This window comes from Homo sapiens, chromosome 2 (assembly GCF_000001405.40).
Source record: "Homo sapiens chromosome 2, GRCh38.p14 Primary Assembly".
Classification (NCBI taxonomy): Eukaryota; Metazoa; Chordata; class Mammalia; order Primates; family Hominidae; genus Homo; species Homo sapiens.
The window spans coordinates 135,108,630-135,125,402 of NC_000002.12; the positions used below are offsets into that span (position 1 = coordinate 135,108,630).

The 16,773-nt window shown below is 36.1% G+C and overlaps 1 protein-coding gene across 5 annotated transcripts in view; it reads left to right on the forward strand.

The window, feature by feature from the left end:
- The window catches only part of RAB3GAP1 (RAB3 GTPase activating protein catalytic subunit 1), a 124,105-nt gene that overhangs the window by 56,338 nt on the left and 50,994 nt on the right, over positions 1–16,773 (forward strand). For all 5 annotated transcript variants that reach the window (XR_001738674.3, XM_011510823.4, NM_001172435.2 and 2 more), the window contains exons 6-9: positions 4,522–4,641; positions 6,587–6,752; positions 12,190–12,289; positions 15,536–15,617. Coding sequence is in view for 4 of the 5 variants with exons in the window: in XM_011510823.4 (XP_011509125.1) it covers positions 4,522–4,641; positions 6,587–6,752; positions 12,190–12,289; positions 15,536–15,617 (468 nt within the window). In the remaining variant the exon portion in view is untranslated. The remainder of the gene's footprint in view (positions 1–4,521; positions 4,642–6,586; positions 6,753–12,189; positions 12,290–15,535; positions 15,618–16,773) is intronic.

Genomic DNA, 16,773 nt, shown 5'->3' on the forward strand with positions numbered 1-16,773 from the left:
ACTATGGTTTTCTCTTTCATTCTCTTGACAGTGTCTTTTGCAGAGCAAAAATTTTTAATTTTAATGAAGTCTAGCGTATCAGTTTGTTCTTTTCTGGATTGTGCCTTTGGTGTTGCATCTAAAAGGTCATCAACAAACTCAAAGTTATCTAGATTTTATTCTGTGTTCTAGGAGTTTTATAACTTTGCATTTTATATTCAGGTCTGTAATCCATTTTAAGTTAGTTTTTGTGGAGAATGTAAAGCCTATCTAGATTAATTTTTTTGTATGTGGATGTCCAGTTGTTCTAACACCATTTGTTGAAAAGACTATCTCCATTGTATTGCCTCTGTTCCTTTTCAGAGATTAGTTGACTATATTTATCTGGGTCTATTTTTAGGCTGTCTATTCTGTTCCATTGATCCCTATTTGTTCTTTTGCCATTACCACACTGTATTGATTTCTGTAGCTTTATAGTAGTGCTTGAAGTTTGATAGTGTTAGTTCTCCAACTTTCTTCTTCTTCAATATTTTATTGGCTACTTTGAGTCTTTTTTTGCTTCTGCTTGTGAACTTTAAACTCAGTTTGTGGATATCCTCACGATAACTTGCTGAGATTTTGATTGAGATTGCATTGAATCTGTAGATGAAGTTGGAAAGAACTAATATCTTGATAATATTATCTTCCTATCCATGAATATAGAATATTTCTTTATTATGTGTGTGTGTGGTGGTATTGGTGGTGGTAACCATAATTATTTTGCCACTCCTCTATTGAAGAATATTTAGATTGTTTCTAGATTTTTACAATTAAATTAAAATATTATAGTGAAAATCACTGTACATACACCTTTTTGCATTTGTATGAATGGTTTTGTAGCATAGATATAAAGAAATATGTAATTCGTTTGAGTTTTGTCCATTTTAAATATTGATATATTCTTCCCTTTTGCTCTCCAAAAAAAATTTTTTTTTTTTTTAATTTTTTATTAAGAGACAGGGCCTTGCTCTGTCACCAGGCTGGAGTGCAGTGGCGCAATCTCGGCTCACTGCAAGTTCCACTTCCTGGGTTCACGCCATTCTCCTGCCTCAGCCTCCTGAGTAGCTGGGACTACAGGCGCCCACCACCACGCCCAGCTAATTTTTTTGTATTTTCAGTAGAGATAGGGTTTCACCATGTTAGCCAGGATGGTCTCGATCTCCTGACCTCATGGTCCGCCTGCCTCGGCCTCCCAAAGTGCTGGGATTACAGGTGTGAGCCACCGCTCCCGGCCTTTGTGTATTTTCTTTTGAGTGACATCCATCCAAGTCCTTTGCCCATTTTAAAATCTGGTTGGTTGTTTTTTGTTGTTGTTGTTGATTTTCGCTTATTTTTTTTTTAAAGCTCCCACGTAATGTTAGTTTACTTTTGATGAAGACATAGTCTCAGGATTCAAGTAGACCTATTGGGGAAAAAGTAGTGACTTATATTGACATTTTAAAGATCATAAAGAAGAGAGTACATTTATCAAGAGTGATATTTGAGGTAAATCCTTTTTTTTTTTGAGATGAGGTTTCACTCTGCTTCCCAGGCTGGAGTGCAGTGGTGTGATGATGGTTCACTACAGCCTTGACCTCCTGGCCTCAAGCAGTTCTCCCACCTCAGCCTCCCAAGCTGCTGGGACTACAGGCGCTCTCCACCATGCCCAGCTAATTTTTACAATTTTTTGTAGAGAGTGGGTCTTGCTATGTTGCCTAGGCTGGTCTTGAACTCCTAAGCTCAAGTGATCCTCCTGTCTTGGCCTGCCAAGATACTGGCATTACAGGTGTGAGCCACCACACCTGGCAAGGTAAATCTTTAAAGAATTTGTCAGGATTTGTGTATTTAGTAATGGCAGTAGAATGGATGGGGGGAGACATTTTATCAATAGATAGAGGAAAGAAAGGCTTAGGGGATAGAAGGTAGATTGCAGATAAATGGCAATTCAGTTTGGCTTGTTATTCATGGCTTGTATACAGTGGCATTGTGTGTGTGTACAGTAAGGAGGTTAGCAACAGCTATCAGTGTTAAAATGCAAATGTTCTTTTATCCAGCAACCACTAGAAATTTATTATAGAGATATAGATGTAGAAAAACAGTTGCAGTATTGTTGCAGCAGCATAAAACTGGAAATAAAGTACTGATCAATAGGGGATTGTACTTTTGAAAAGAAGCTTTACAAAGTGTATACAAATAATATAATTGTATTTGAGGGTAGGGTGGTTACGCAGATAAATGGAACATTTCTGGAAGAATAACCAAGAAACTGTTGACAGTGATTTTATACAAGTACAGAGGATGGAACGGGGATGTTCACTTGTTTTGTTTTCTTTCTTCCAGGGACATTTGAAAAAAAGAAAACTATTTTTCAAAGATCTTTAGAGCTCAATTTTTAAAGCTCTAGATTATTTTCATTATTTTATGCTGCCTCTGCATAACTAATTTTGATTTCAGGGCTAGGAGGGTGGAGGTAGGGTGAGGAAATGAAATAAGTTTTTGTCATCTAAATAATAAACATTATGAATTAAACTTAATTTTTTAAATCATTACTCCTGTTTGGGGCATTTCTTGAGGAGGATGTTTATAAAAATAAGGATTAATAATTCTTTATATACCAGAGATAATAAATTAGGCAAATGAGTAAAATCTCTCATAAGTTATTTTCTTTATTAAAAAATATTAAATATAAATACATTAAAGAGTGAATAGGAGAGGAATTTTCAGTATACAGGATAATCAGTTTGACTTTATTTTCATAAAAATTTGGCAGCAAATTTGTGACTTTAAAGGATATGGCAACTGAATGAGAAGTTTTAATTAATGTAGATGTCATAGCAAGATCAAGCTGCTTTATGATAATTTTTTAACCCCTTTTTAATGTGTTATTGAGTAAAAGAACACAAGAATTCTTTAATTAGGATACTTAGTAAACTGTGTTCTCACATTTAGAAAGGACATATACATCATTGCTGATAATTTTCCTGCAGTTTAGGGAATCTGTCAAAGTTTCTTCATCTGCAGACTTAGTGGTATCAGTTCATTAAAGCAAAGTTTCAATACTTGCCTCTTTTATCTTGTAAACTTAACTTTAAAGGCAAAACTATTGTTTAATGGTCCTTGTGATTTCAGCAAATTGTTTCTTTTTTTTCTTTCAAATATCAGATTTCTTTATACTTAAAATGTGCACATTATAGTTTACTTAGATACAAAATGTTTACTTTCCTTGTAGGTAAGGAATTTCACTGACATTTCCATGTCAATTAGCTTCTTTTTAGTAAAAATCCTTCCATTAAAAATAAACATTTAAATTACTCAACTATTATATTCATTAGTCTCAATACCTCTTAAAAATACTTAAAACTTTAGAAAATAGACTGTAAACCTTGCCTAAAGGAGGCATCCAGCTCTGAGCAGACCACACGGAATGTGTTAGAGCATGGCCATATGCATGGCCATACAACTCCTGGGGCCACCTCCACGATGGCCCAGCCCCACCACTGACCCTCTGCTGAAAACCCTGCCCCTCAGCAGGACGCAAGCTTGTCCCCCAAATAGTGGTGACCTCAAACTGTAATATGATGATGAAACCTACAGCCGATACTGCCTTCCACAAGGGTTTCTGGAAAGGCTGAAGCTGGAGACGGTAAACCGCAACACCGTCCCAGGTCACCCCAGCTAAAGACATTCTATACCAGCCAAAAGGCTAAAGTTTAGTTAAGGGTTCAAAGGCAAATACACTGAAACCCATGTGTAAACCTGCCTGGTTTTCAAGCTGAAAGAGAAACACTTTGGTGTCTTCAATAACCCAGGCCTGCACTGGATGAAGCAATGAAGGCAAGGTCACGGCTGCTAAAGCACGGAGAGGTTAAAAAGTGTGAAACCAGAAGAAACTCTTGAGTGAGAGATGTGAAGCAGCAGGCCGAGGCATCAGACACCTCTCCCACCACACACCTCTCCCACCAGACACTTCTCCCACCAGCTGCAGGGCTCTTGGCAGCGTTCTCAGCCCAGCCATTCTGTGACAGTTGTTTTAAGGAATCAGCTGTTGACCTTTTTTTCTCAAGCGGCAACAATAACATCAATATTACAGTGGTCTTATGAATACACCCATGTGATCAACTTGTTAGTAAACACATGGGTATACAACATAAAGTAGGCAAAGCGGAAAAAGTATTTACAACTGTCAAAGTCTCTCTCTCTCTCTCTCTCACACACACACACACACACACACACACACACACAGATGGGCACGCAAATATATCTGAGCCTATTTTAGCTGAATCAAATTTAGATTTCAGCAAATTGTTTCTAATTTGTAAAGAATAGAGGGGAACTAGTAGGTGGATGATGGAAGTGCTTCTTAAAGTTGAGGTCTTGTAGGTTCTGTTGCCATTAAAAGAAACACTTTTAGTTTAAACCTGACTTGTTAAATTTTCTGTAGTGAAATTTTTTTGTGCTTTTCAAGTAATGGATTTTTGTGTTCTGAGGTTTCCCCTGTTTAATGCAGTTAATTCTTTTTTTAAGGTATGGGCTACGTGAGTTCGTGGTGATTGCCCCTGCTGCACACAGTGACGCTGTTCTCAGCGAATCTAAGTGCAACCTTCTTCTGAGTTCTGTTTCTATTGCCTTGGGAAACACTGGCTGGTGAGTGGACATTTTTTAAAACCTAGACAAAAAAACTGTTTTTAACAATAATTTATGAAGGCAAACAGTTATTAAATGTTAGCTTTTTAACTGTAATTAGGAACTTAGTGCATATATATTGTTAAACTAAATTTGACTTGAGGTTACCTCTGTATCCGCTCCCTATTTAAAGAACTGCTACCTAACTTATTCCGTGTACAAACTGAAAGCTTAATTTAGGAGTATACTTTTGGAACAATTAACTGAGTCCCAGCCAGTCACAGCAGCTGAGGTTCAGTCAATCACAGGGCAACTGATCAGAGCATGCACAAATGAAGCAAACTCCGAGCTGTAACCAATCAAGCTGTTTCTGTACCTTACTTCCATTTTCTGTCTATAAATGCTGCCTGCCCACCTTACAGAGCTGATCTGTCTGAACCTCCACTGGTTCTGAAGACTATGTGATTCTCAACTCATTTTTGCTCAAATAAAATTTTTTTTTTTTTTCGAGACGTAGTCTTGCTCTGTTGCCCAGGCTGGAGTGCAGTGGCACAGTCTGGGCTCACTGCAGCCTCCACCTCCTGAGTTCAAGCGACTCTCCTGTCTCAGCCTCCCGAGTATCTGGGAGTACAGGTGTTCACCACCCTTGGCTAATTTTTATTTTTATTTTTTAAATTTTCAGTAGAGATGGGGTTTCACTATGTTGGCCAGGCTGGTCTTGAACTCCTGACCTCAGATGATCCGCCCGCCGCGGCCTTCCAGAATGCTAGGATTATAGGTGTAAGCGACTGTGCCCAGTCTTAAGTAAACTCCATTAAGTTTAATTAGTTGAAAATTTTTCTTTTAACAATATATCTGCATGTTTTTATACTGGAATTTGGTATATAAGGACAAAACTAATAAAACCTAAATGGAAGCCATTTCTAAAGGTAATCTTCCTGAAACAATTCAATGTATATCTGGAATAACTTTTTTAAAAGTTAATTTTCAGTACCTTTAGGCCCTATTCTTAAATGGAAGTATTTAAGAAAATGAAATTTGTTTAATCACTATTCTGCTATTTTGAATTGTATTTCATTTGCATATCGAATAGACTATGATACTCTAAATCTACTGGGGAAGAATTAATTTATTTTAGTGGATGTACTCCATGGTATATCCTAAGTGAATAATTTTGCTAGAATATTTACTAATGTAGGATTATTAACTTGGGGATATATTTGTACAATCCTTTCTTGTTATTTAAGGTAGTTATGTGCTATAAAGTTGCCACAAACACTGAGTTATCAATTCCTCATCTGTTTCTCCTAGGAGAAATACAGACTTGGGTTCCTTCGAGCCTCTGGTCACATTTTTTGTCAATCAGTTAATACATAACCTTCTTTTATGTGTGTTTCTGTTTAAAGATAGCTTATTTAATATACATTGTTGAGTCATTAACATTGAACTTGTAGCCAAAAGCAATGTAACTTGTGCATGAATGATGCTTCTGGGAAAATACGTGTGTTAACACGTATTCTCTCTAAGGCACATCACAACCTTCTTGTGCTTGGGAGCCTTACTTTATCTTTAAATGATGTGAAAAATATTTCACCACAATATTGGCTTAATTTATATTGTTTAATACCTGTAAGTTAGGTTTTATTATCACTTTGGAAAGACTAATATGAAATAATCACTTTTACTCAAGACAGTTTTCATTCTGATGTTTTCTGACTTTTAGCTGTTCTAAAACAATTTTCAGACTAATCAAAGTACTTCTAGATGATAGTTTCTTCAGTTTGGTATTGTAAGGAGAAAAAGGAACTAAGAATGTCTTTGTTATACACACAAACCTGTGTTTTTGTTGTGTTTCCAGTTTAGTGCTTTCAAATTCTTGAGATTAAAATAATTTGGAAAAAATTTGAGGTTCAGGTTTAATGTTTAATGAGCTTGTATTCCATTCCTATTTAATCATGTCTTGCAGTCAGGTGCCACTCTTTGTGCAAATTCACCACAAATGGCGAAGAATGTATGTAGGAGAATGTCAAGGTCCTGGTGTACGAACTGATTTCGAAATGGTTCATCTTAGAAAAGTGCCAAATCAGTACACTCACTTATCAGGTCTGCTGGATATCTTCAAATCAAAGATTGTGAGTTGGGATTGATATTGTCAGTCTTATCTGAGATCCAGATAAAAGTAGAGATTTGATCATTTTATTCAGCATATAGAAACATTTCTCTATAATATTGATAATGTAATTGCTTAGAAGAAAGCTATAAGTGACTACATAAATTACTTTGTAATTTCTAAGAAACAAAATATCCAATTGTATTTTTAGTGTACTCATGCTAAAGCAACAACTGATTTGTCTGTTTGTTTGTTCAGTCTGTTAGCATTTATTGACTGTGTTATCTCTTCTACTCCTTGTCCTCTATTGGTAATATTGCCAGTCTCCTAAGCTTAATGGGGCTCAGGTAGCTGCTTGTTTGAGCATTTGAAGCATTTGACTATGAGCTCCTTAAGGTCTAAACACTTTGGGTTCTGAATTGCATTTTTTCCCCCAAATCTTTATTTGATTTAATTTTCAAGGTTAATCTGGCTTATATCCTAGGCCTGAGAGCAGCAGGGCTAAATGGGACATGCTAAATATATTCTTATATTCTATAACAACACTGTCTATAGCTATGGAGGACTTGCCTGTGCTGCTCTGTGGGGTTGGGGGGAATGGGGCTGATGAGGGCTTAAGTTGAGGAGCTGTTTGTGAATACCTCTAGAAAACAGAGAAAGCTAGATAACCAATAGTGGAAGGGATCCTCTACTTAGAGAAATATTACTCTTAGGTTATTAGGATGCTGATTTAAATTTGGAGTATGTTAAGTGCTAAACATGACACTATCTCACTATCTCACAGTTGATTAATAAACTGACATCATGTGTCGTGTGATGGCTATTAGTCACATTTGGCCACTTAAGTGAGATAGTGGCAGCTTTAGCACTTAAATATTAAGTATATTGATTAGGATATTGATTATATGTATATTACAATGAAGTATATCGATTATAAATAAATATATTAATTATGATATATAATTATATATGTGGCATTCCTGCCAAAATGTTTAACATACTGTAAATCAAAACATGAGGAAGCAATCACATATTTTCAAAGTGAGCCATGTTTTGCAACAGTAACTGGTCAGTATCATGATAGGCAAAATAAAGGCTGGAAGCAATTCAGATTTAAGGAGAAAATGGAACCTGACAGCTAAATGCAACACATGATTCTTGATTGGATCCTTTTTCAAAACAAAATAGCCAGTAAGGACATTATTGGGACAATTGGGATGATTTTAATATGGACTGTATATTAGAAAATAGTATCAATGTTTAATTTATTGAGTGTGATAATTGTATTATAGTTGTATAGACTAATGTCCTTGTTCTTAGGAATTACATGCTAAAGTATTTAAGGGTGATTTGTTATGATGCCTGCCTTTTTCAGAAGATTCAGCCAAAAAAATGTCATATGCATAATATGTGTATGTGTGGCAAAGTGTTAATAATTATGAACTCCGTGAAAGTCATATGGGTGTTCATTATACTAGTTTTCCAATCTTTCTGAAGGTTTGAGAATTTTCAAAAGAAAAAGAATTATAAGAAAAAATTGCTGAAATTTCTTTTTAAATAGATAACATTTGTTAGAAAGATATTTAGGATTAGAATTTAATCATAAAAATATGTTTTTAATGTTGAGGACCTAAATAGTGTACTGGTAGGATTATTACTAACTAGATAAATCCCTTTGATATTAAAAAAAAAATAATGCATTTACGAGATTAGGAAATTAGAGTAAAAGCTTCCTTTTACCTCTCTGCCTGTCTCCTCAAAATGACAACTGTTAGCAGTGGCTTGTGATTATCTCCATTAGAAAAATTACAGGTGCTTCTATTTTAGAGAATTCCGTGTATATATGTAATTTTCTTTTCAAAAACCTTCTGGGCTCTGAAGTGCTATAGGTACTGCTTAATTCCACATATAGTTTGGGAAATTTTTGAAAAAGGCAAGTATTTATTAGTATCTTCTCCATTAGTTTTCCTTTGCTCTCACCAGAAGTCTTCAATTATATTTAAAATTTTTAGATCAAGTTTCTGGTCACATGGAAATATCAATACTTTATTTCTTCTTCTTCTTCTTCTTCTTCTTCTTCTTCTTCTTCTTCTTCTGCTTCTGCTTCTGCTTCTGCTTCTTCTGCTTCTTCTTCTGCTTCTTCTTCTTCTTCTGCTTCTTCTGCTTCTTCTGCTTCTTCTTCTGCTTCTTCTTCTTCTGCTTCTTCTTCTGCTTCTTCTTCTGCTTCTTCTTCTGCTGCTTCTTCTGCTTCTTCTGCTTCTGCTTCTTCTGCTTCTGCTTCTTCTTCTGCTTCTGCTTCTTCTGCTTCTGCTTCTTCTGCTTCTGCTTCTTCTTCTGCTTCTTCTGCTTCTGCTTCTTCTTCTGCTTCTTCTTCTTCTGCTTCTTCTTCTGCTTCTGCTTCTTCTGCTGCTTCTTCTGCTTCTTCTGCTTCTTCTTCTTCTTCTTCTTCTTTCTTCTTCTTTCTTCTTCTTCTTTCTTCTTCTTCTTTCTTCTTCTTCTTCTTTTTTTGTTTGAGACAGAGTCTCACTCTGTCACCCAGGCTGCAGTGTAGGGCGTGATTACAGCTCACTGCAGCCTCGACCTCCTGGGGTCACTGACTCCTCCCACCTCGGCCTCCTGAATATTTGGGACTATAGGTGTGTATCACCACACACAGCTAATCTTTGTATTTTTTGTAGAGACCAGCCTGTTGCTCATGCTGGTCTTCAACTCCTAGGCTCAAGCAATCCGCCTGCCCAACCTCCCAAAGTGCCAAGATAACAGGCATGAGCCACCGCGCTGGGCCTTAGTCCTTCTTCTTAAGAAATCATTAATGAATATGATCTTCAGATCTTTTATGTCACATCTCTTTTTTGAAGCTAGGGACTACATTGATCTGTGGAACCCAACTTACATCTTGGCTATTTATTAGCAGTAGTTAAAAAAAAAAGTTTTTAATCAGTTTATCTCATCATCTGACAAACCTAAAACTTACTTTTCTGATAAGAAACATCTCTCAAAATTGATTTGAGAGAATTGAACTTAAGAGCTGGTTTGGGTTCTTAAGTTTAATCCTCTTCTGCCATAATCCTCTAAATATTTGAAAACTTTCATAACTTCATCTTTTCTTTTTCATCTTAGACATTCTTAGTTCTTGAGATGTTCTTTACATTTTATGGTATTATATCATGACTGTTGATTTGGATATTTGTCTCTTTTAGAACTACTTTTTTATGTTTTGGGAAATTTAGTTTGTAGGCTCATTTTGAATGAGTTTCATTTTAAATTTTTAATGTTCACTCCCATCCATCCTCTCTAGTGATTCTGTAGTTTTATGGTTACTCCCTACCTGCAGAATATTTCAGAATTAGGTCTTAAAATAGTGTTTGGAGTCTCTTGCTCTGTAGTAATGTTGGGGATTTTGATAACTGGTCTTAGAATCTTGGGTTGTTTGCTCACCACATGTGGGTGAGGGTTTTTTCCCCTCACACAATAACCTCCAGTCCCATACCTTCCGATAAAGCCATTGTGCCAAGCAGGAGTGACATGTCCCAGTGTCTGGCTTAAGCAGAGAATCTTGCAATGCCCTCACACTGGACTGAGCCCTTTTGGTTTCATCCTAGGTTGTCAGTGCCGCCTTCCACACCTCAAGGCATGTGCCTTGAACCCCACTTATCCTCCAGGGTCCACAAAGATATTTCCATCATTTTTCATCCTAATCCTTCCTTCCTTCCTCCCTCCCTCCCTCCCTCCCTCCCTTCCTTCCTTCCTTCTGTCCTTATTTTTTTGAGACAGGGCTTCACTCTGTCACCCAGGCTGGAGTGCAGTGGCACGATCTTGGCTCACTGCAACCTCTGCCTCCCGGGATCAAGCGATTCTCCTGCCTCAGCCTCCCAAGTAGCTGAGACTACAGGCGCGCACCACTACTGCCCGGCTAATTTTTGTATTTTTATTAGAAATGGGGTTTCACCATGTTGGCCAGGCTGGTCTTGAACTCCTGATTTCAAATGATCCACCCGCCTTGGCCTCCCAAAGTGCTGGGATTACAGGCGTGAGCCACTGCGCTTGGCCATAATTATTTCTTTTCTGGGTATCTGTTTTTGTATTTATCTGTGTGACTGGATCAGAGGTTATGTGTCAAAGTGGCCTTGTTATGGCTTCTAGAACATTTGCTCCTTATTATAGGTGAATGCTCATTTGATATCTGGACATGACTAAAAAGTTGATATACTGACCAGCCAAAATCTCACCTTGCTGTTGGGCACAGGAGCCCAAAACTGAATTAGGTTTTTTGGGAGCAGCTGTCTACTATTGTGACTTCAAATTGAGTTTGTGTTCTTAAAGCTACTAGTGACATTTATAGATGCTGCTGCTGAGCTAAATGTAAATGTCATGTATTCCTTTGCTACTCAAAGTGTAGTCTCCTGAACAGCAGCATCTGGAAACTGGTTAGATATGCAGAAGAGTATTGAATCTGCATTTCACAAGTTCCCTAGGTGATTCCTATGCATATTTAAGTCCTATTTTATATTAGTTTAGATTAAGCATTATGAAGGGAAGCTGAGGTCATAGGATGTTTAAATGATAGTATTAAGTTTTGTGATTTTTAGTGAATTGACAGATAAATCTAAGTTTTCTTTTGTTAGCTGATTCATTAATCTATTTTGTGTGAGTGATCATTCATTTCTCTTAGTCTGAAATTTTGGTTAAATATTCAAGGGTGGCTTTAATTTGAGTTTATTTTCATTTAAAAGAAAAGACATCCTCTCCCCAAACCAAGTCTTATGCTTTATAATACTTTTACTTATTTGAAAAATGAATCACCTTTTTTTCACATTTAATATGTCTGAAGTGAATAGTAAGAAATGGTATTTTATGATTAAAATAGTAAAAGATACTTTAAAGAGCATTTTGCTTAATAGAATGTAATATCTCTTTTTCTAATAGCAGTTTAAACAGCTTTATTTTAAAGCTATGGCATTGTTTTTGAAACTTTTTTTTAGCTACATCAAATGAAAACATTTGTGGAAGCAGTATGCAGAAATTATGGAAATCCTTCTGTACACACAAATATGTGGACAAAAATACAGTGATTCTTTGGAAAGTTTACTTTTCCATTTTTTAAAATTCAGTCTCACAATTGCCACTGCTGTTCCTTACTATGGGATCTTTCCTCCTGTTCATCCCTGATCCACCTCTTGAGCTTTTGGACTGTGAGAATTTCTTCTGTGAAAAGGATTTCCTAAATTTTGCATCTTTGGCTCTAATGACTTCGGTGACTTATTTTTCCTTTGGAATGGCTAGAATATCATGTTTTTAATAACTAGAATATGCACACTATTGTTTAACACTAGAATCTGAAAATCCAGGTTTCATAAAGGTAGTATTAATCCATTCCATAAGTTTGAAATTTTGATGTTGAATTAATATGAAAAGGGTACCAGCATTTACACGGTATTGTCTTTGCATGTATTTCCTAGGGATGTCCTTTAACTCCATTGCCTCCAGTTAGTATTGCTATTCGATTTACCTATGTACTTCAAGATTGGCAGCAGTATTTTTGGCCTCAGCAACCTCCAGGTGAGATCATTTAGAACTATATTTAACTTACTGAATATAAATGGAAAAGAAGATACATTCAGAAATTAAAATTACTTAACAAGAGTTTCAAGTGTTTTACATTAGAAATATTTGTGATTCATTTTAAATGTAATATTATTGCTTTCATTGCCCTTATTTTTTTTCTCTTGAAGAAAAACTGTAGGTTTTCTAGAGATAGTATTACTCTATATTTGACAATCTGTCTTTGAAAGCCTTATTTATAAGGCACCCCTTGCTGTGGCACATCATGTGCCATAAATTACTATGTAGCGAATGATTAACATGTCTGTTTTTAGACTATTATGAGAGAAGAGCTGTTCTCAGCTCACCCTCATAAACTGAGAACACTCATGCAAAAAGCTTTAAAGAGAGTAATGTTTCAAGAAAGGGGGCTAAACAAGGAAAGCAGAGAAGAAAAATATATGTAGGGGAAAAATAATAATTAACTTGTATGTTATAGAAATATAATCAAAATCAATTTGCCTGCTTACCCTTGATAAACAGATTCATTCAACAATTATTAATTATTAACCTGAGACTAGGCGGTGCTAAGACAGCAATATGAGCAACACATTACCTAAGTTCTAGAAAAGCTCAGTTTCATGGACATATATCCTAAATAATATTTTGATTCCTGGGTGTTTCTTTCACATGTTTGATTATATTAAAGCACATCTAATAAGGAATATAATACAAACTTTTAAAATATAAGAATTTTACTAGCCTGAAAACGTTTTTTAATCTACTTCTCCTAAAGAGAAATAAAATAAACTAATATTCTTTACTGTTTATTTTTGTTCCAAATAGTTGGCTATTTATAGGATTGAAAAAATTGGTAGGCATGAGATGATATAAAAATTAATATAATACAGGCCGGGCACGGTGACTCACACCTGTAATCCTAGCCCTTTGGGAGGCCAAGGCAGGCAGATCACCTGAGGTCGGGAGTTCACGACCAACCTGGCCAACATGGTGAAACCTTGTCTCTACTAAAAATACAAAAATTAGCCAGGTGCAGTGGCAGGAGCCTATAATCCCAGCTACTCTGGAGGCTGAGGCAGGAGAATCCCTTGAACCTGGGAGGCGGAGGTTGCAGTGAGCTGACATTGCGCCACTGTACTCCAGCCTGGGTGACAGAGTGAGACCCTGTCTCAAAAAAAAAAGAAAAAAAATTAATGTAATATATCCTTAGCTTTTGGCAGTTATATGTACTACTACTATTTTATTTTATATACCACAAAATAATTTTCAACTCTAATGTACACTAAAAGGACCGTATCTAGACTACAACAGAGAAATAAAAGCTAAGCTTTAGATTTATATCAGAAGAAACACTCAAATGTTTGTGTTGGTAGTTTTAGTTCCCAGGTAACAGTACCCACTGGACAATTTACAGTCTATGTCTGGTTAGAAGTTTCCATTCTTATCTTCCTTTTTTTTCCTTCCAAGGCTACTCTCTTATAAAGCAGTTTTAAAGATTTCCTAAGGTAGTGTGGTCTGCTCGTGATCTGTGAAGAAGCCCAAGAGTTAGAACCTTAGCATTATAAGATTGCCAATAAGGTCTTTGTTAATCTTCTATTGTCAGGTTTTTAAAATGGGGATTAAAAATATTAACCTTCTCCCTCAGTAGATTGAAAGCCATATAAATTCTTAACATTTTCCTTTATAAGGGGGAAGGGACTGAACATATAATATGGATGAGATACTGTGCTTTTCATATTTTATATCCCATTTTGTATAATTTTCACTTACCTGTGAGACAATTATTATTATCTTTTGTTTTGTTTTGTTTTGTTTTTTGAGACAGAGTCTTGCTTTGTCACCCAGGCTGGAGTGCAGTGGCATGATCTTGGCTCACTGCAACCTCTGCCTCCTGGGTTCAAGCGATTCTCTTGCCTCAGCCTCAGCCTCCTGAGTCTCTGGGACTACAGGTATGCACCACCACGCCTGGCTAATTTTTGTATTTTTTAGTAGATATGGGGTTTCACCATGTTGGCCAGGCTGGTCTCGAACTCCTGACCTCAGGTGATCCACCCTCCCCAGCTTCCCAAAGTGCTGGAATTACAGGTTTGAGCCACCGTGCCCAGCCCAAGACAAGTATTGTCTTTCTTAGAGATGTAAGTTTCTTAACCCATGTAACTGGCTTAAAGTCATATGGTCACCAAGTGATAAAGTTTGCATACAAACACTAGTCAAACTCCAAGTCCGATGTGCTTTTCATTCCACGAGTTGCTTCTCCCTTTTTAATTCAGCTAAAACTTTTGTACAGTTATATTTTAGTAATAATTTTTAATTTACTAATTATAAAAATGTGCTTGTAATTTTGAAGCTTTTACAAACTCACTTGTAACAATGCTAGTCATTGTGATCTTTCTTATTATAAGCATTCTTTAGTTGGAAAAATGGAATTGACTTGAGAAAATTTACTGAATCAAGTAATTGATTCATATTTGATGACTAATTTTAATCATTTACTTAGGATGTAGATAAATATCAGATGTGATTTTAGCAAATATGGGAAGTTTTGTTAACTCAGTAGGCTTTAATTTCAGGAAATCCTAGTATAGTGTGAATAATTAAATATCACAATTTGTATTATTTCAAAGAGAAAAAAATCCTTTTGATGCCTTTTAGAAATGCTTATTACTTCCTCAGGAGAGATAGAACTAAGGGAATGATTTACCCTCTAAGTTCTCTTCCAGTCTAGTATGCCATTCGTAATGGAAAGGAGGTTCTTTTCTGATCTTTATATATTTCCATTTACTATCAACCAAAATATAATGTTATTAATGACGACAAATATACTAATTTCCTATTCAGAAATTACTGATAGCAAAACTGATTAATGTAGTTGGTGATTTTTAAATACTTGGATACTCTTTTTGGGTTATACTAATTACATTCTTTAAAAATGCAAAAAAATGTACAGAAATAATATTCTCTTGAGTAATATTTAAGGAATATTTCAGAAGGGCAAAATTTAGAATACCTGGCCTGAATGAAATACTGGATAAATAGGAAATAAGTGTGCCCTTTTACTGTAACATTCTCTGGGGAAGTCAAATATTGTTAGACTACATATGCTGTAAGTTGGTCTAACTTGCTAACTTGCTACATGTGTTCTCTTGCAGACACTTTTAAAGCTATGATATTCCAAAGGGCTTAACTAGATTAGACTCTTCTTTATTTTTTCCCAAATGATGGAAAAATATTTCTTTTGTTTAGACATAGATGCCCTTGTAGGAGGAGAAGTTGGAGGCTTGGAGTTTGGCAAGTTACCATTTGGTGCCTGCGAAGATCCTATTAGGTGAGAATTTCAACCTGTCATTTGAATTGTGGGAATATTTTACTTTGAATTTATATTGATATTGATTTCACTGTGCTTTATGATGCTATAGCTTGCTGGGATGAATGTAGTACTGGAAATAAAGAAAGACGTACACCTGGGCTGGGCACAGGCTCATGCCTGTAATCCTAGCGCTCTGGGAGGCTGCGGTGGGCAGCCCCTGAGGTCAGGAGTTCGAGAACAGCCTGACCAACGTGGCGAAACCCCATCTCTACTAAAGAATGTCAAAATTAACTGGGTGTGGTTGCGCACACCTGTAATCCCAGCTACTCAAGAGGTTAAGGCACAAGAATCACTTGAACCCGGCAGGCAGAGGTTGCAGTGAGCTAAGATCACGCCATTGCACTCCAACCTGGGCAACAGAGCAAGACTCCGTCTCAAAAAAAGAAAGAAAGACCTACACTTGCTTTATTTATTTTATAATTTTACATGAAAACTTTCTGAGATTTGATATTCATCTATAACTCAGCAAACTGTGTCCTTTGCCAAATCTGGCCATTAGCCTATTTTTGTATGGCCAGTGAAGTCAGGATGGTGTTTACATTTTTAAAGGTTATGAAAGAAAAAAAATAAAATAGAGACTGTGCATGGTTCACAAAACCTAAAATATTTACTCTCTGGCTCTTTATAGAAAATGTTTGCCAACTCCTGATTTATAACATTTTTCAAACTTGAGATATAATTTACCTGCCATAAAATTCACTATTTAAAAGTGTACAATTCAATGGTATTTTAATATTTACAGAGCTGTGCAACCATCATAATCATCTAATTCCAGAACATTTTCATAACCTTAAAAAGAAATTCTTCACCTCTTAGCCATCATTTCCCCTTAGTCTTCTCAGCCCTCCGGCTCTAGGCAAACACTGATATACTTTCTGTCTCTTTGGATTTACCTATTCTGGACATTTCTTATAAATGGAATCATATAACATGTGGCTTTCTTTGTGTCTGACTTATTTTAATTAGCATGTTTTCAAGGTTTGTCCATGTTGTAGCATGAATCAGTACAGTAGTACCCCCTTATCCACAGCTGGTATGTTGCAAGATCCCCAGTGGATGACTGAAAACATGGATAGTACCACACACTAAATATTTTTCCTGTGCATACAGATAA